This window comes from Homo sapiens, chromosome Y (genome assembly GCF_000001405.40).
Source record: "Homo sapiens chromosome Y, GRCh38.p14 Primary Assembly".
NCBI lineage: Eukaryota > Metazoa > Chordata > Mammalia > Primates > Hominidae > Homo > Homo sapiens.
Genome location: NC_000024.10, coordinates 25,375,995 through 25,395,356, shown reverse-complemented (window position 1 = coordinate 25,395,356; position 19,362 = coordinate 25,375,995). Strand labels below are relative to the sequence as shown.

The 19,362-nt window shown below is 41.9% G+C and overlaps 3 pseudogenes across 1 annotated transcript; 2 read left to right on the top strand and 1 right to left on the bottom strand.

Annotated features, from left to right (window-relative positions):
* Positions 1-637: 637 nt before the first annotated feature.
* Positions 638-17,057, top strand: SEPTIN14P23 (septin 14 pseudogene 23; annotated as a pseudogene). Its single transcript, NR_174182.1, has 3 exons — positions 638-731; positions 8,272-8,440; positions 16,479-17,057. The product of NR_174182.1 is annotated as a septin 14 pseudogene 23 (transcript).
* LINC00265-3P (long intergenic non-protein coding RNA 265-3, pseudogene) lies at positions 1,505-2,504 on the top strand (annotated as a pseudogene).
* On the bottom strand, positions 2,535-6,028 carry CICP1 (capicua transcriptional repressor pseudogene 1; annotated as a pseudogene).
* Positions 17,058-19,362: the final 2,305 nt, after the last annotated feature.

Here is a 19,362-nt window from a genome sequence, read left to right as displayed (position 1 = left end):
AGATGAGCCTGTGACCCAATAAGGTGCACTGAGTCTTTTGCTTGGCCTGATGGTAAAGAGGCACTCTCTCTTCCATTCTAGGTTTGAACTCTGCAGGATGTTGGCCTGGGGTTGCTGATAGCCATTCTACCTCCATATGGAACTAGAAAATAAACCACCACAGAAAAAGCAGAAATGCACAATGAACTAGGTCGTGTCCCAATGACGTCGTTTGACCCCTGACTCCAGCCTGACCTGGACTTTTCAATTCCTTGAACTAATACATTCCCCCTTCTTGCTGAAGTCATGGTGAGCCTATTTTCCTGTCATTTACAACAAAAAGAGTCCTGACACAATGACTTTTCAAAAATCGTCACTCTCCCACGAACCCTTGGAGCGTCAGGGTTAATGACATTCTGATACAACTTACTGTTTCCATGTCTTTGCTTAACTATCTCTTTCTCAGTAAGGTCTTTCCTGACGACTGTATTTTAAATTGTGATTCCTTCCAGCCCAGTCAGCCTAGTCCCCATCCCTTTTTTTTTTTTGGTTGTTGGCTGTGTGTGTGTGTGTGTGTGTGTGTGTGTGTGTGTGTGTGTGTGTGTGTTGATCCTGGGTCTCACTCTGTCACCAAGCTGGCATGCAGTGGTGCAATTATAGCTCACTGTAACCTTGAACTCCTGGGCTCAAGTGATCTTCCTGCTTCAACTTTCTGAGTAGCTGGGACTACAGGCATGCACCACCATGCACAGGTAATTTTTAAATGTTTTTGTAGAGGTGGCGACTCACTATGTTGCCCTGGCTTGTTTCAAACTCCTGGGTTGGAACAATTCTCTTGCCTCAGCTTCCCAAATTGCTGGGATTACAGGCACAAACCATTGCACCCCACCCCACTGCCCTGCTTTTTCTTTTACTTATCACTATATGATATGCTACTTATTTTACTTACTTGTTTTGTTTATTATCTGTCTCCTGTAAGTAAGTCATAAGGGCAGGAATTTTTTTTTTTTTTTTTATGCAGAGACTCATTGTGTCACCCAGGCTGGAGTGCAGTGGCATGACAGAGGTCAGTGGGAGCCCCTTGCCTCACATCGGCCCCTCCCACACTGACAGAGGTCAGCGGGAGCCCCTTGCCTCACACCGGCCCCTCCCACGCTGACAGAGGTCAGCGGGAGCCCCTTGCCTCACACCGGCCCCTCCCACACTGAGAGAGGTCAGCGTGAGCCCTTGCCTCACACCGGCCCCTCCCACACTGAGAGAGGTCAGTGTGAGCCCCTTCCTCAACAGGCCACCGTGAGGGAGGAGCAGGGTCACATGCGGGCTGCTGGGAGGCAGGCAGGGACTTGGGCCTGGGAGGCCACAGTGGGGTGAGAGCTGGGCCTGGAGACGCCCCTGGGAGGCAACAGTGGGGCCTGCAGACGCTCTTCTCCAGCCGGAGCTGGGACTGTTCAAGCCTCTGGGAGGTGGGATGTGGGCCTGAAGAGCTTGGTTGCAGAAACTTCGGGGTCTACAAAGGCCGGCAGAGCTGAGCCAAAAGAGCTTGTTTGCTGGGAGGCAGGAGCTGGGCTGGGAGATGCAGCCAGGAGGAACAGCTGGGCCTACAGAGGCCGCCATGCGGGAGGCAGAGGACGGGCCTCCTCAAGTCAGCCTCTCCAGACCCACTTGCAGCCTCCTGGCATCCTCTCCGGGCCCAGCTCTTCCTCCCGGCTGTGTCTCCAGGCCCGACTCCGGCCTCCCAACAACGTCTTTGGACTCAGCTCCTGCCCAGCTCCCAGGGGCCCTGGTAGGCCCACAACTTTCCGAAGCCAAGCTCCCCAGGCCCAGCTCAGGCCTCACGGTGGCCTCTTCAGGCTCAGCTCCTACCCTCCAATGGCATCTGCAGGCCCCAAACAGCCTCCGGTTGGTGGGCTCCTCTAGGCCCAGCTTGGGCCTCCTGGTAGCCTCTGAAGGCCCAAATCGTCCCGAAGTTGGCCTCTCCAGGACCAGCTCCAGCCTCCTGGCTGCCTCTGCAGGCCCAAGTCTTCCTCAAGTCGGCCTGGAAGTGGGCCTGGAAGAGCTGCAAGTCAGCCTCCCTGGGCCCAGCTCCGTCCTCTCGGTGGCCTCTCCAGGTGCAAAACTTCCTCGAGTCAGCCTCTCCAGGCCCAGCTCCTCCTGCCTCCCAGTGGCCTCTTTTGGCCCAGCCCAGCTCATGGCTCTCGGCGGCCTTCCCAGGCCTTGCTTTTGACTTTTGGCGGCCTCTTCAGGCCCCGAACTTGACCTCCAGTCAGCCTTTGCAGGCCTGGCCTCCTGCCTCTTGAAGGCCTGCACGGGCCCGGCCTTGGCCTCACAGCGGACTCTCCAAGCCCAGCTAGCTCTCGCCTCACTGCGGCCTCCCCGGTCCAAAGCTCCTGCCTTTCGGCCACTTCAGCAGGTCCAGCTCCTGCCTGCCAGTGGCCTCTTTAGGCCCAGCTCATTCCTCACAGCGGCCTTTCCAGGCCCCGTTTTTCCCTTCCGGCAGCCTCTTGGCCTCTAATTTGTTTATCTTTTGTGTATAAATCCCAAAATATGGAATTTTGGAATATTTCCACCATTATATAAATATTTTGGTAGGTAATTTATTTGGAGTGAGTTTCTGCACCAAGCCTGAATTTTTTATTTTATTTTCCTTATTATTTGGTGTTAAACAGGTTTAATGATGGTCATGGCAACTTTTTGGCACAATGAAAAATATCGCCCATGATCAACGTGTTCTGTTCTGGGGAAGGGGGCAAAGGCAGGGTGAATCACTTTCTTAAAAAGTACAGCTCAAGTTGGGAGTGCAGAGGGAATGGGGAGAAAACCCTCCTGCCGCCTGTGTCGAAGTGCAGGAGCCCCCACCCCCATACTCACCTGAGTCCAGCCCCTCTGGGGAAAGAAGGGGTGCATGAACTCCCCCTAGTCCACAGTCGCCTCCCTGTGGCCCAAAGCCCTCTTCACACTCCATCTTGTAGCCCCAGCAGGAACTATTTTCTGAAAAGTGAAAAGCTGTGAAGGTCCCACAATTCATGGAATGTACAGGGGCTCGGAGGAGGGAAACTGCCCAGCTTTCCCCTGGCACAGCTGCAGGGGTAGGGGGTATAGATAAGAGGAGCAGGCCTTGGCCAGGCGTGGTGGCTCATGCCTGTAATCCCAGCACTTTGGGAGGTGGAGGCAGGCAGTTCATGATGTAAGGTGATCGAACTCAGCCTGGCCAAGATGATGAAGCCCCGTCTGTACTAAAAATACAAAAATTAGCCAGACGTGGTAGCGTGCACCTGTAACCCTAGCTACCCGGAAGGCTGAGGCAGGAGAATGGCGTGAACCCGGCAGGAAGAGGTTGCAGTGAGCCAAGATCGCACCACTGCACTCCAGCCTGTGCGACAGAGCAAGACTCCGTCTCAAAAAAAAAAAAAAAAAAAAAAAGAGACAGGCCTTATTCCATCCCAAACTGAAAGGATTAAATCTCTTTACCTGGGAGAAGATAACCATCTTGCCCTCCATTGCTACCCCCACATACTGTCCATGTTCTCAGGTTGTACTGTGAGTCCTGGGATCTTCTTTGGGGTCGCCTACCTGCCTGTGGTAGTTATGGAGACCCCCAGGTGTTGAGGCAAGGCTAGGGTGTCCCCTTCCAGCCAGGCTGTCAAGGCCCCAACTCTGGGGCAGAGGCAGTGGCAGGGCAGCCAGGGTTGCGCCAGAGCCTAAGCAGGGTGAGGTGGGGTCAGGCAGGGCTGGGAGTCAGGGCAGGGGCAGCAGCAGTGGACCCGCTATGCACACACCTTCTTTTCCAAGGTTTGTGTGCAGAACATCCTGCCCTTGCTGCCCCAGCAGCTTCAGTTGGCACCTGCCCCAGTCCAGCCTCTGGGACCCATGCAGCAGCTCCCAGCGGCCCTGCAGCCACCACCAGCATCTGTTTCACCTGCAGTTGAAGATCCATGAGGTGCCCAGAAGATCATGCAGTCATCAGTCCCATGGAGCAGCCCACAAGGCTGAGGCTCCTCCCACTGGACCACCCCCCAACTGGCACCACTGCTGCCCCTGCCCCTACTCTCAGCCTCATGTGACTCTCAGGCAGAGGCAGTGGTGGGGCAGCCAGGGCAGCGTCAAGAGTCTGAGCCAGGTGAGGTGTGGTCAGGACCCCCACAGGGCTGGGAGTCAGGGCAGGGGCAGAACAAACCTTGGAGGGGAAGATGTGTACATAGTGGGCCTGGAGGGCGGCTGTGGCCTAGTGGACAGGAAGAAGAAGGGGGCCTGGAAATGCTGCATGATCAGGGCTGGCACTGGTCCAGGGCGCGTGCAGTGAAGAGGACAGCGCCTACTCGGTCTCCAGTTCCCTGAGCCTGTCCTTGGCTTCTCCAACTGTACAGGCAAAGGGGAAGCTGTCCCCATCACACATGGCACACTTGGGGGTGTTGGGCTTTGGGCTGCAGCTGGAGCATCTTCTCATCTTGCATTTGGGTGTGGTGGGGTCCTCCAGTGTGGGATCCATGTCTGTGGGGTTCCCTCTTCCCCGACCCCAAAAGCCCAGTCAGTTTCTCTTCAGGCTCTGCCCCCCAGGTGGCTCAGCCCAGCTCCTGCCTAGGAAAGCCTTAGTGTTGGGAGGGACCCTGATGACTGAGGAGCCTGGTAGCTCCAGGTCACCCACACTTTCAGGTCTCTTGCACCAGAAGGTGGAAGGATCCATTGGGAGGAAACAGGTCACCTTGGAAGGCATCCCTGGGTCCACATCCCCAGGGGTAGGGGCTGTAGGGGGCCCGCTCTGCTGCCTTGACCAGACTCCTGGGCTTTGAAGGCTCCTGGGCCCAGTAAGAAGGAGGTGGGTGCCAAGATTGAGGAGGAAGCATCCGAGTATGTGTAGGAGGAGGACAGGGTGGGACCATAGACTTTGCCAAAAGCTGCAGGTGGATCGGGGGACCCTGGGGGCTCAGGATCCAGCAAGGGGCAGCAGGAGTAAAGGAGGAAGGAATGACAGGTGCAAATACCTTCCCACTAAAGCCCTTGTTGCCCTCTGGCTCCTCCCCAGAGTTGTCCCCACTCTCAGTCGGTCACCCACTCCTTGAACTTGAGATCAGTGTCAGTGGTGCTAAAGCCATCATCAGCAATGACATCATCACACCCTATTCCTCATGGATGACCGTGTGCTCCTTGTCACTCGCTATGTCCTCACTGGCCATGTGCTGGGAATGACCAGCTCAGGTGGGCAGCAGCAGGGCTGCCCACTGGTCACCTCCCTCACCAGGGGCTGCAAAGTGGCCTGGAGCTCCATACTGAGTAGAAGGCTTTGGGCCAGAGTATGATGCAGTGCCAGATACCACCTGTGTCAGTTCCTGTAGTGCCTGATGGTCTATTTCCCTGCCATCCAGGCTGTGTACCCCCCTGTGGGAGAAGGCTTGGGCCAGGCTGAGCCAGGTTCCCTGACTGTGTGCAGCCATTCTGCCCCACAGAAGCTGCTCCTTGGTATCCGAGCTCTGGAGTGTTTGGGCTGCAACTGACAGGAGTTCAGAGGACACCCCAGGGGCAGTGGCAGTGCCAGTCTCTGACATGCTCCACTCCCACGAGCCTTTGTTACACTCCTGCTAGCCCCTGGCTTGTGGGCTTGGCCTCTGAGCTGAACTTCTTTCAGTCCTTATTGCAAGTGGGCCACCTTCACCTGGAAGGCCAGTTCATGGTATTTCTGCCTCTCATTGGGCCCCAGGGTGTACCACCACTTGCTCAGCATCTGGCTGACGGTCCAGTTATCCTGGTTGGGGTGACCCTGGTGTGCCCTGCCAGGGCCTGGTGCCGCTTGCTGAAGATCATGACCGCCACTCATGGGACACCGGATGTGGTCCTTGTCCCATTTGTTGGGGCTGCGTCCATCCTTCTCAGAAGATGAGCCCTGTTCCTTGTGCAGGGCACTGAGGAACTGGGCCTGACATCATCTGAGTGGTAGAGGCAACTGGGTGTCAGGAGACATGATGGAGAGGAAAGCATCATCATGGTCATTCTCTGTCTCACTGTCCAGCAGGGACTCCCCTGAGGGGCCCAGGGCTCCTCCTCCATGGTGGGAGATGAGCTTTTACCAGGTTCCACCACCCCCAAAGTGTGTGGGGTTGCGGGCCCTGGGCTTTCAGGGCAGGTGGCTCCAGGGGGCCGCCCAGGGTCAACACTCCCTGTCCCACCTGGTGGATGCTCGTGAGCAACAGCTGCCAACTTGGCAGGTTGTTTTCTCTGGTTGGAGGCCACTGAGTGACTGGCAGGTTGCTGGGCCTCGTGTGGCTGCAGGGAGGGTTCAGGAAGGGGATGGAGTACCAGGGGAACATGGCCACAGAGTGACCTTCCACATTGCTCCACACGAACATGCTGACGCCACGGGAGGCCTCACTGAACGCAGGCCTGGGGGCTGAGTACTTGGTCTGGGCACAGGGTTCCTGGCAGGGGCCCACACCTCCTTGCCCCCTCCTCAGCCAAGGTGGCTTGGGCCCAGAGAAGGGGGGGTTGGAGAGGAGCAGAAGGACAGACCTCAAGTTTTGTTTTTTTGTTTGTTTTGTTTTTTGTTTTTGAAATGTAGTTTGACTCTTGTCACCCAGGCTGGAGTGCAGTGGCACGATCTCAGTGGCCTTCATACCTGGCGATTTGTTGTATTTTTACTGGAGGTGGGGTTTTGCCATGTTGGCCAGGCTGGTCTTGACCTCCTGACCTCGGGTGATCCACCCACCTCGGCCTCCCAAAATGGGATTACAGGCATGAGCCACCGCTCCTAACTTCATTCATTTTTACTTGAAAAACTCCGTTAAGCATTTTTTTTAAGGTAGACCTAGTGGTCCTGAATGCCCTCAGCTTTGTTTGTCGAGGAAACATGTTATTTCTTCTTTCTATCTGAAGGACAGCTTTGTCAGACATAGTATTAGTTGCTGGCAGTTTTTTTCTTTCAGCACTTTGAATGTATTATTCGATTCTGTCCTGACCTGCAAAGTTTCTTTAACTTTTGACTATTTGATTATATTGTGACTTGGTGAGTATCTATTTGGTTTGAACCTCTTTAGGAATCTTTAAGCTTCATGGGTTTAGATGTCTAAATCTTTCCTATGATTTAGGCAGTTTTCAGCCATTCTTTAAATAAGCTTTCTTGTCCTTTCTCTACTTTCCTTCTCAAACTCCCATAACCTGACAATGGTTTGCCTAATGGTGTCTTGTGGGCTTTCTTTTCTCTGTCTCTTTTATTTTCTTTTTTCTTTTTTCTTTTTTTTTTTTTTTGAGACAGAGTCTTGCTCTGTCACCCAGGCTGGAGTGCAATGTGTGGTCTTGGCTCACATTGCACTCCAACCTCTGCCTCCTGGGTTCAAGCGATTCTCCTGACTCAGCCTCCCAAGTAGCTGGGACTACAGGTATGTGCCACCACACACGGCTTATTTTTGTATTTTTAGTAGAGATGGGGTTTTGTCATGTTGGCCAGGCTGGTCTTGAACTCCTGACCTCTTAATCTGCCTGCCTTGGCCTACCAAAGTGTTGGGATTACAGGCTTGAGCCACCATGCCCAGCCTTCTTTTCTCTTTTTTATTCTTTTTTTCTTTATCCTCTGACTGGATAATTTCAGAAGATCTATATTCAAGTTTACAGATTCTCTCTCCTGTTGAAGTTTACTATTGTGTTATATCACCCAGTCTGGTCCTGAACTCCTGGGCTCAAGCGATCCTCCCACCTTGGCCTCCCAAAGTGCTGAGTTTACAAGCATGAGCCACTGCATCCAGTCAGTCCCAGCACTTTGGGAAGCTGAGGTGGGAGGATCACTTGAGCTCAGGAGTTTGAGACCAGCCTGGACAATATACTGAGAACTTGTCTCTATATTAAAAAAGAAAAAAAGTCTTTGGGAGGCCAAAGTGGGAGGATCACCTGAGGTCAGGAGTTCAAGACCAGACTGGCCAACATGGCAAAACCCCATTTCTACTAAAAATACAAAAATTAGCCAGGTGTGGTGGCACACGCCTGTAGTGGTGGTGCATGCCTGTAGTCCCAGCTACTCAAGAGGCTGAGGCAGGAGAATCACTTGAACTGGGAGATGGGGGTTGCAGTGAGCTGAGATCGCACCAGTGCACTCCAGCCTGGGCAACAGAGTGAGACTCCATCTTATAAAAGGAAAAAAGAAAGAAAAGAAAAATTCCATATCTGAGTGTTTACTCCTGAGTTTTTGAGATTATTAGTAAGATCATGCTCTACTGTGATGATTTGGGTTTGTTTGATAATCAGAAAAAAGCATATTCTTTTGGGTGTTCAGCCACACTGCTTTGGTGTCACAACTGCACATTGGTTTCACAGCTGCAGGACAAGTTCGAGCATCTTAAAATGATTCAGCAGGAGGAGATAAGGAAGCTCGAGGAAGAGAAAAAACAACTGGAAGGAGAAATCATAGATTTTTATAAAATGAAAGCTGCCTCTGAAGCACTGCAGACTCAGCTGAGCACTGATACAAAGAAAGACAAACATCGTAAGAAACAATAATTTCTCTTACTATTCTGAAAGCCTTATCATTCTGCATCCCATCTTCCTGTGAGATTGTCTTTGTAGCATTTAACTCTAATTGCAGTTCTCATTTTAAAAATTGGCTTGCTTATTGTATATTTTCCCCAACTAAAGTGTGAACTCCTAGCAGGGCGTGGTGGCTCATGCCTGTAATCTCAGCACTGTGGGAGGCCGAGGTGGGTCGACTACCTGAGGTTAGGAGTTCGAGACCAGCCTGACCAACATGATGAAACGCTGTCTCTACTAAAAATACAAAAATTAGCTAGGCGTGGTGGCTGGGACCTGTAATCCCAGCTACTTGGGAGGCTGAGGCAGGAGAATCACTTGAACCCTGGAGGTGGAGGTTGCAGTGAGCAGAGAGCTCACCATTACACTCCAGCCTGGGTGACAAGAGCAAAACTCCATCTCAAAAAAAAAAAAAAAAAAAAAAAAAAAGAAAGGGTGAACTTGAAGGCAGGTCCTGTGTCCATGTTTTCAGATTCTGTATCCCAGCACTTAGGACATAGACAAACACGAAGATGACAATCAATATTTGCCAAAATGAAAAAAACAAAAGAAACATGTAACATCATGTAAAAGAAGCTGGTTAGGTGGAGAAATTTCTTTACCATAGTCTTGCTTGTGGATCCAGTAGTGACTTTTACGTTTTATATCTAAATAGAAGCTGGAGGCTTTGTTGGGGACTCATAGGCATAAAATATTATTTATTATAGAGTTAAATGCTACAAAGACAAATCTAATTAATAGGCCTATTTTCCTTTTTAAATTCTACTCATAATTTCTTCATAGTTTTTATGATAAAAGGTTGGATTTTGATTAGAACTCCCATGCTATTGTGTCAGAATTAAAACTGATATTAGAATAAATAATTCAAAAGCTAGAGAAAGAGTACAATGAGAAGCCATGAGTTGCATTTGAATTATAATATTATGTCTTACAGATTTGGGGTATATGCTAAAGTTACCAAAGTTGTAGAAAATAAGGCCAGGCATTGTGGCTCACATCTGTAATTCCAGCACTTTAGGAGGTCGAGGTGGGCGGATCATTTGAGGTCAGGAGTTCGAGACCAGCCTGGCCAACATGGTGAAACTCCGTCTGTACTAATAGTACAAAAATTAGCCAGGCGTGATGGTGTGCACCTGTAGTCCTTGCTACTCAGAAAGCTGAGGCAGGAGAATCGCTTGTACCCAGGAGGCAGAAGTTGCAGTGAGCAGAGATTGTGCCACTGCACTCCAGCCTGGGTGACAGACTGCTATGAGTCACCACATCTGGTATGAGCCACCGTGCCTGGCCCACAATGACTTTTACACATGTTGTTAAATCATCTTACAGATTTTATAATTTGGGGGAAGAAAAGTTTTACTAAATGGTCTTTTAATGGAAACTCTACAAGAACCAGAATCTTTGCTTTGTTCACTTATGTATCCATTCCTAGGCCTAGAAAAATGTCTGACACATAGCAGCAATTATTCATTGAATAAATGGACCCAGTGATAGTACATTAGCTATGCTATATGCATACATTAAAGATGTAGATTATCGACTTTCAAAAGATAATTAATGTAACTTCTTACTGCTTCTGAACATGTTTGTGGGTTATATTGCTGAGGGACCTTTAACTTCTCATTCTTTCATCTTAACCCAGTGTTATAAAATTGAAATCACCAATATTATTCCATATCTAAAATTAATATCTACCTTGTAAAAAAATCACTCTGCTGCATTTGAGAATAGACTTTTTAGGTAATAATGATGCAATCCATAGGGTTTTTTGGGGTCACAGAGGGATTCATGCTAACAGAACATTTTATTTTCTATTTTCCCAGAGCTGTAAAACATGAAATTATGGTAGTATAAGGCATATTTTTACTCTTTTTATAATTTTTTCTAAAAAAAATTAGTGTTTGTTCCCTATATAACTTTTAACTTTATAGGTAAATATTTGTCTCTTTCAGCTCCAGTTTTATGTGAAATAGAGTTTTCAGTTTTATGTAGCATGGAAAGTTTTAATACATCAGAGTTACTGATTTTTGCCAATCATTTTCTCAATTATTTCTTTTTTATCTTTAGTTGATTTTTTTGTAGTGACACATTTTGTTTCTAGTCTCATTTCCTTTTGTTTATATTCTATGTATATTTCATTTTTGGTTACTATGAGAATTACATCCTAGAGTTATAACATTTTAATTTGAATTTATTTCAACTTAAGTTCAATCGCATTCCAAAATTCGACTGCTATATATATAGCTCTACTCTTTTTATGTTATTGATGTAACAAATTATATCTTTATTCATTGTATACCAGCTAACAGATTTACAATTACATTTTATGCATTTGCCTTTTAAATTATGTAGAAAATAAAAAGCAGAGTTGCAAACCAAAATAACAATAGGACTGTTTTTATGTTTGTTTATGTATTTACCTTTACCAGAGAGCTTTGTATATTCACACAGCTTGCTTATTTACTTATATAGTTATTGCCTAGAGTTCATTTATTTCAACCTGAAGGACTTAACACTTCTTGAATGGCAAATTCAGGGATAAATGGATTTTTTTCAGTTTAAAAAAAAAATCCGGAAATGTCTTAATTTCTCCTTCATTTTTGAAGGATAAGTTTTCCAGCTATAGATTTCTCAATTGACAGGTTTCTTCATTATTTTAAATATATAATCCACTGCCTACTGGCCTTCAAGGTTTCTGCTGAGAAATCAGCTGCTAATGTTATCTGGATCCCTATCTGTGACAGTTGCTCTTCTCTCTGAGTTTTCAACATTCTCCCATTATCTTTTTTTTTGTTTGTTTTTGAGACAAATAATTGTACATATTCATGGGATACAGAGTGATATTTTGATACATGTATACAATGTCCAATGATCAAATAAGGATAATTAGCATATCCATCACCTCAAATATTTGTCATTTATTTGTATTGTGAACAGTCAACATTCTTTCTTCTAGTTTTTTAAATTTATAAACATTTAAATTTTATTACAGAAATTTAATTTTTTTGATTCTGAAAAAGTCATATATGTATGCAACATCTTTTTATCATTTATTTATATATTTATGCATCTTTCCTTTTAGTTTTGACAGAGATTTTCTATTTTATCATTATTTCAAAAGAACTCTTACCTGTATTTATCAATTATATTTCCCTTGTTTTTTCCTAGTATATTAATTTATTTACTTATCTTCTAAAAATCCTCCATATAATCTGTTTATTTTGTTTCCTTTCTATAATTTCTTCCATGATTAGTTCTGTTCTATTTTCCATTAAAATATTTAACTCTTGTATGAATTTTTGTCAGGTTAGAAATTTAGGGCATTTCTTAATTTCTCTATATTCTAGCTTTTGACTTTTTTTTTTCTGACCTAAGAAGTATTTAGAGCACATTTTAGATTTTTTATTTTGACTAATCATTTAAAATGTATACTAATCTTCAATTTAAATAAAAAACTGGTCTATAGTGACAAAAATTACAAATGAGCCTAACTAATAAATTATCAGCTGTGTTTATATGTATAGGCATGCACAGATTTTGGTAAATATGTACCTAGTATATTGGTGAGCTTATTTTTATCATTCTTAACTCATTGTGTAGTATAAACATTGGGGAAAAAATAAAATACAATAATCAGATGGTGTGAATAAGAAAATTGTTCTAATGTTTGTAAATGAAGCAACTGTTTTAACTGCTCCTCTCTTCCTGATTGACTTCTAAAAGGGATTAATCCATATTGGGTCCTATCATATATGTCACGGTATAACATCTCCAGCTATAAAATGGAAATTTAAGAATAACTTTGCTGCTACTCAGATACATTTTATTTCAAAAACATACACTAAGATGTTGCTATTGGATCTTTCCAAAAACATATTCACACAGAACTTTCAATCACACTGAGCCATATTTGAACAATCTTTCAAGGTCAGCTCCGGCATAAGCTAACATTATACCATTTAACTCAGAAATTTCTTTAGTATTTGATTAATGGGTTTATGTTTGATATGTAATGTAATTTTCTAATGCTAAATCAAGTGGTAATTTTTTTAGTCAAGTTGATTTAGTGGCTTGGGAAGAAAGCTTTTAATGTTCCCCTAATTTTTCTTACCTTTGACATGATCCTTCACATGTCTTATTTTGCTTAGTAATTTTTCTTTTTTTTTTTTTTTTTTTGAGACAGGGTCTTACTCTACCACCCAGGCTTGAGTGCAGTGGTGCGATCACAGCTCATTGCAGCCTTGACCTCCCAGACTCAAGCTATTCTTCAACCTAGCCTCCCAAGTAGCTGGTACTACAGGCACATGCCACCAAATTTGGCTAATTTTTGTATTTTTTGTAGAGACAGAGTTTTGCCAAATTCTCAGGCTGGTCTGGAATTTCTGGGCTCAAGTAATCCTGCCTTGGCCTCCCAACATGCTGATATTACAGACATAAGCCACAGTACCTGGCCAGTTTTCTTTTTTAAAAAATCTATTGGTTATTAATTTGAAGCCTTCCTTTTCATAGCTGTGCTCCTTAATTGGGAGCAAACATGAATGGACCACAACTTAGCCAATTTTCTATATACGATCTTTGCAATCCTAATTTAAAGGAATATTAATTCTTTCTTTTCCTCTTTCATTCCACAAACCTGTATTGACTACATCTAAGTTCTAAATGGTGCACTGGATGTTGAAAAAGTTGATGATGAGCAAGAACAAAATTCCTCCTTTCAGGAGACTTACAGTTCAATATGGGAAAATAATTTGTTAAAATATAAAAGTGCAATTGTGTTACATGCTGTACGAAGTACATGATGACATGTGAGCATGTAATAAATGGGCTGGAGGCCAGAGTATTGCCAAAGAGAATGGGCCTCCTGCTGAGATGAAAAGTTGAGCAGGGATTAGTTGGCGAAAGTGGAGGGACGATCCTTTCTAGGCAGGAGGAAGAACATGTACAGAATCTCTGAGGTGTGATGCAACAAAGTCTATATAAAAAACTGAAGAAAGGTCTAATGTGGCTTAAATACAGAAGCTAGTAGGAGAGGAGTTGAAAAGAGGCTGGAGAAGTAGAAAGTGTCTCCATTCTGCAGGAACTTATATTGTATAAAAAGAATTTCTCTTTATTCTAAGTGCAATGTGAAGCCAATGAAGTGCTTTAAACAGGTGATGTGATTTGATTGAATTTATTACTTCACTTAACAAATATTCATTACATGCCCACTGTTTGTCAGATATTGCTGTAGCCCCTGGTGATACAGTAGGGAATAAAACAGGCAAAAATCCCTGTCCTCTTGCAGCTTATAATGGACTGCAATGTTTAATATGTCAGAGGAGGTCCACGGAGGAGTGACTTCTAAGCAAGAATCTGAAAAAAATGAGGATATCTAAGGAGGGAACAAATGGTTCAAAAGCCCTATAATTGCGAGCAGGCATGATGAAGCAATTGTAGTTGTCCTGACTCTCAACACCGTGGAACTCAAAGGAGATGGAAATATTCTTTCTCTACCTCATGTATTTTCTCTCTTTCTGTCTATATATATAGAATATGAGACATTTCCCTAATCATTAGGTGTAATTACAATTACATATATATGTATGTATGTCATAAATATATAAATAACATACATATATATGTAATTGTAATTACACCTAATGATTAGGGAAATGTCTCATATTCTTCTACTCAGAAATAAGCAATATAGCAATTACTGTTTTTTACATTTTACAGTTATGGTTTCAGAGAAAGTTTGATATTTATCTAAAATTTTTCAAGGTATGAACTTTTTCACTTGACAAACCATAATTGTACATATTCTTGGGATACAGAGTGATATTTCTTTACATGTATAGAATGTGTAGTGATCAAATCAGGGTAATTTCCACTAATTTAAAATGCCACCTTTATGTTATTGTAATTTATATATATAATATATATATACACACACACATATATATACATGTCCACATACAGTGTGTGTGTGCACATGTACACACATGCATATGTGTATATAATGCCCAGTATAAGCAATGTGCACAAATAAAATTAGCTAACAGAGATAGTATAGAGTGAAAGGAGAGGCAGATTAATCTTTGAGGAAAAGCACAATTTTATGGCTGAATGGAGAAAGCTGAGGTGGTTTCTAAGATGGAGAATAAGATGAAAAATGTAAGTACATTGTTTGACTGAATTCAAGAAAGAAGGGTAAAAGAGAAGAAAGTAGTGGTCTTATCATTAAATGCCACAGAGAGGTAAAGATAAAAACAACATATTGTTTTGGGTTTAGTAATTTAAAGGTTACCAAATTCCGTTTTGGAGGAGGAACAGATTCCATGTCCACTAGAATGGAATGAACAAGAAATGGAGGAGGAAAATAGGTAGTTTTACAAAAGTTTTCAAAAATATGAAAAGAAGAAATGAAATGGTACTTGGAAGAGATTGTTGAAATGGGAGAGACTATGGTGGCTTGTTTAGAAGCAGTTGAGATAGATCCAATTGAGATAGAGATATTGACTATATAAACAAAAGAATGACAAATTAATAGTGTAATGGATAACTTGACTTTGGCAAATATTGTGAATTTTTGTGAAAGTACAACTAAAAGGCAATGTCACTCCAATAATCACCAGAGTAATCAATTTGCTTATTGCTGACCCTTTAAATATAGTTCTCTGGTATCAACTAACATATTTTTAACTAACGATGCTTCTTAAAGAAAAGGGAAAAGACCTTTTTCTTTCTTTCAGTCTTCAATGATTCACTGCTTCATCTCGCTCCACCAAAGATAAATGAAATCTACATCTCTTATACATTAACAATGTATGACAATTTATAAATAGCTAAATTTTTGGAGCTAACTTTAAGTACCTGATGGAATTTAATCAACCCACTAATCTCCTTCTCACTTCTCAGTTATTTATCAAGTTTATGTCAAGGGAAAAGGAAAAATTATCCAAACATTGTTTAAAACAATCATCATTAATTAGTAACACTTATCCAGGGGGGGTTTTAACCCTTCCCCCACTCAAGAATTATTCTAATGTCAGAGTAGAATAAAAAATAAGTGCAGCGTTGCTGACTCTTCCAAGCTTAACATTTCTCACAAATCAATTAGCTTTGTACTGGGAGGAGGGCATGAAGGGCTGCTTGCGGTAGTTGTCTAGCAGCAGCACAATGGCCGCAGACAAGGAAAACAGTTTCTAGGAATTCCTCGTATATAATTTTATATTTTTGACAAGATTAATGACCCATGCTGTCTTCCTCTCCATTTCGTTTTTTTGGAATTCTGTGTTGGTATGTAGTTACTATATTTTATTAAAGGAAATTAGCCTTATCTCTTATTATATTTTATTAAAGAAAATTATTATATTATTCCTTTGTATTTTTATTAAAGGAATTTATTATTATTATTATTAAAGGAAATTAGCCTTATATCTTATTATATTTTTTATGACCTTCAAAATAGTGTCTCTGCTTAAAAGTGTACCCTGGCGGGGCGTGGTCGCTCACGCCCGTAATTCCAGCACTTTGGGAGGCTGAGGTGGGTGGATCACGAGATCAGGAGATAGAGACCATCCTGGCTAACAGGGTGAAACCCCGTCTGTACTAAAAATACAAAAAATTAGCAGGGCATAGTGGTGGGCACCTGTAGTCCCAGCTACTCAGGAGGCTGAGGCAGGAGAATGGCATGAACCCGGGAGACGGAGCTTGCGGTGAGCTGAGATCACACTGCTGCACTCCAGCCTGGGTGACAGAACAAGACTCCGTCTCAAAAAAAAAAAAAAAAAAAAAAAAAAAGTGTACCCTGAAGCACATATCAAGCGACATGTAGAGTTCATAAATTCTGGCCAAATGGTCATACCTCAAACCTAATCAGCACTAAGGCTCTTTACTTGCACTGACAAACATGAACGCTGGGGAATTTGGAAATGATATATAATATATAATATTATATATAATATATATATAATATTTAATAACTTTCCATGTGATTTTCCTCTTAATTTTTTTTCTAGCTGATCCATATGAATTCCTCTTATTAAGAAAAATAAAGCATCCAGGATTCAATGAAGAACTGACTATCACCTTGTTAATCATTCAGAAACATGTTGCAGGCTTAAGCCATTTTTGATATAGATACTGAAACAATTACTTGCTAAGAGCAAACTTGAAGGTATGGATAAGGCCCTGAGTCATCATCTTGAACTGAATGATAGTTAAGCTGAATGTAAGTATAAAATATGATTTTCTAACCACTTGCTCGCCAACAAGGAAAACTTTTAAGTAGAGCAGAACCTGAATAGACAAGACATTTCTTTCTTTTGGTAGAAAATGATTTACCATCACTGTCTAGTTAATTGTAGACTAGGTAATTTTAACTTTGTGATTTATTGCCGGAGACATTTTCTTCTGTACTGTAAAGTGTGTGTCAGAAAAAATTAGCGATTTTGGAGGATTAGGGGACTTTGATAAATTGCCTGCAATTCTGGCAGTATGAACTGCATATTAATTTCTCTCTTTCAAGAACATTTTTATTTATTAATTCCTTACAAATACTCCCTAAACTTTGGAACAGCTCTCAATTGCCTGTATTCTTTTTTTTTTCTTATTATGGTACTCTTCTAGAGATTTGGCTTGCGTCTATGAATAAGCCAGGACATCTTCAGAAATTGTCTGATTAAAAACACCACCAATGGAGTTTCATTAAATTTGTATTGCTCTGACTAGGGAAACACACACATCTATGTTGCTTAGGATATTTTACTGCAGTTTGAGTTGTAATAATAGCTCTGTTTAAGATCCGTCAGTCACTTGAATCTTCTCTAAGGCTTTGTATGTTAGAAGTTAATTTGCTTTCTTACAAGGCCACATTCTATCTTGTAACTAAACAACTGAATTTTATGTCTTAGCATAGATGGTTTATTACTTTCTCGTTTTTCTTTAGTAAGAATCCTATAAAAACACTAGTATTTTTCTCTGAGTTTAAAATTCAACACTTGCCTACTGATATGGTTAGGCTTTGTATCCCCACCTGAATCTCATCTTGAATTGTAATCCCCATAGCCCCCATAATCCCCACATGTCAAGGGAGAGACCAGGTGGAGGTAATTGAATCATGGGGGCAGTTTCCCCTGTGCTGTTCTTGTGATAGTGAGTTCTCACGAGATTTGATGATTTTATAAGGGATTCTTTCCCCTTTGCTCAGCACTTCTTCATGCTGCCTTGCAAAGAAGCTACCTTGCTTCCTCTTTGTCTTCCGCCATGATTGTGGATTTCCTGAGGCCTCCCAAGCTGTACTGAACTGTGAGCCAATTAAACTTCTTTCCTTTATAAATTACCCAGTCTTGGGCAGTTCTTTATAGCAGTATGAAAACAGACAAATACACCTACTATGTAAAACTTAAAATACAAAAAAAAAACATTATCTCACTAACATAGGAGCTAATATTTTGGTGTACTTTGTTTAGTATTTTATATTAAAAATATGTACATATATATTTATATATAATTAAGAACATGTATGTACAATCATGCATACATCATGTACATACATCTACTTAAGAAAATAGCTATGTAATATACCATTACTCAACTAGATTATAATTTTTTCTCCATTTCTTTATTGTATGTTATTTATCATTTTCTACTTTTTTGTTTTCTCATTTTTATCGCATAATATTTAATTATGCAAAAAATACATTAAATACATAGAAAATACATAATGTAGCTATAAGAATAAAGAACGATGGTAAAACAAATGCTAATACCCACTACCTGACTTAAAGAATATGATACTATTTTTTTCCAATTGAAATCCCCTCAACTACTCAGAATTACTGCTATCCCTTTTATCCTTTCATTAATTTTCTTCTAGTTTTCTCACATGTGAATCTATTTCTAAATACATTTCTTTATTTTGCAAGTTTTTGGACTTCATATAAATGTAACCATATTGTATATATTCTTCTTCAGCTTCTTACTTTTTCACTAAACAATATGTTTTGCTGATACTTACATTCATATGTACAGTAATAGTTGATTTATTTTAATGGCTATATACTATTCCATTGTTAGAATACACCAGGATTTATTTTTACTTATTTTTTTTTTGCTGGTAAATTGGGTGTCTTTTTTATTTTTTGATATAACAAACAATGTTGTAATCATTTTGTATTTACTTCCTAGTCCACTCCTGTAAGTTTCTCTTGAGTACATATTAGCAATGAAGATGCTGAGTCACTGCGTATACATACTCACAACTTTATTCTATAATGCAATATTCTATAAATTAGCTGTATCAGTTTATACTTTAACCAGTAATGGACAAGATTTTCTGTTACTTCCCATCTTTGTTAAATATTACTTTTAGACTCTAACTTTTATCAGGCTCATGGATGTAAAAAGCATCTCAGGGTGGTTTTAATTTGCATTTATCTGCTCATCTATGAAGATGAGCTTCTTTTCATATAATTATGAGTCATAATTTTTGTTTTGCCTTCTTTTGTTTATGCATTTTGCTTGTTCTATGTCTTATTTTTCCTGTTGATTTTTGGGAGTTCATATATATTCTAAATGTATATTTATTCACTCATATATATGTTGCAAATATTACAGTTTATGATTTGTCACCTTATGATATCATCCAAATAGAGAAGCTTTATATTTTGATGTAGTCATATGTTCATTTTTCCTCCTTAATGTTTGTTTTTCTTGGTTCTATGACCTACCAAAAGTAACAAAAATTCTCATTTATTTTTAATCTAAATGTTTTAAGTATTTTCCTGGAATTCACCTTGAATTGATTTCTATTGGAGACAGTTATCCAATCTAATTTGCCTCATATGGATAACCACTTGTTCTATTACTGCTGTAACAAATTTCTACAAACTAAGTGACCTA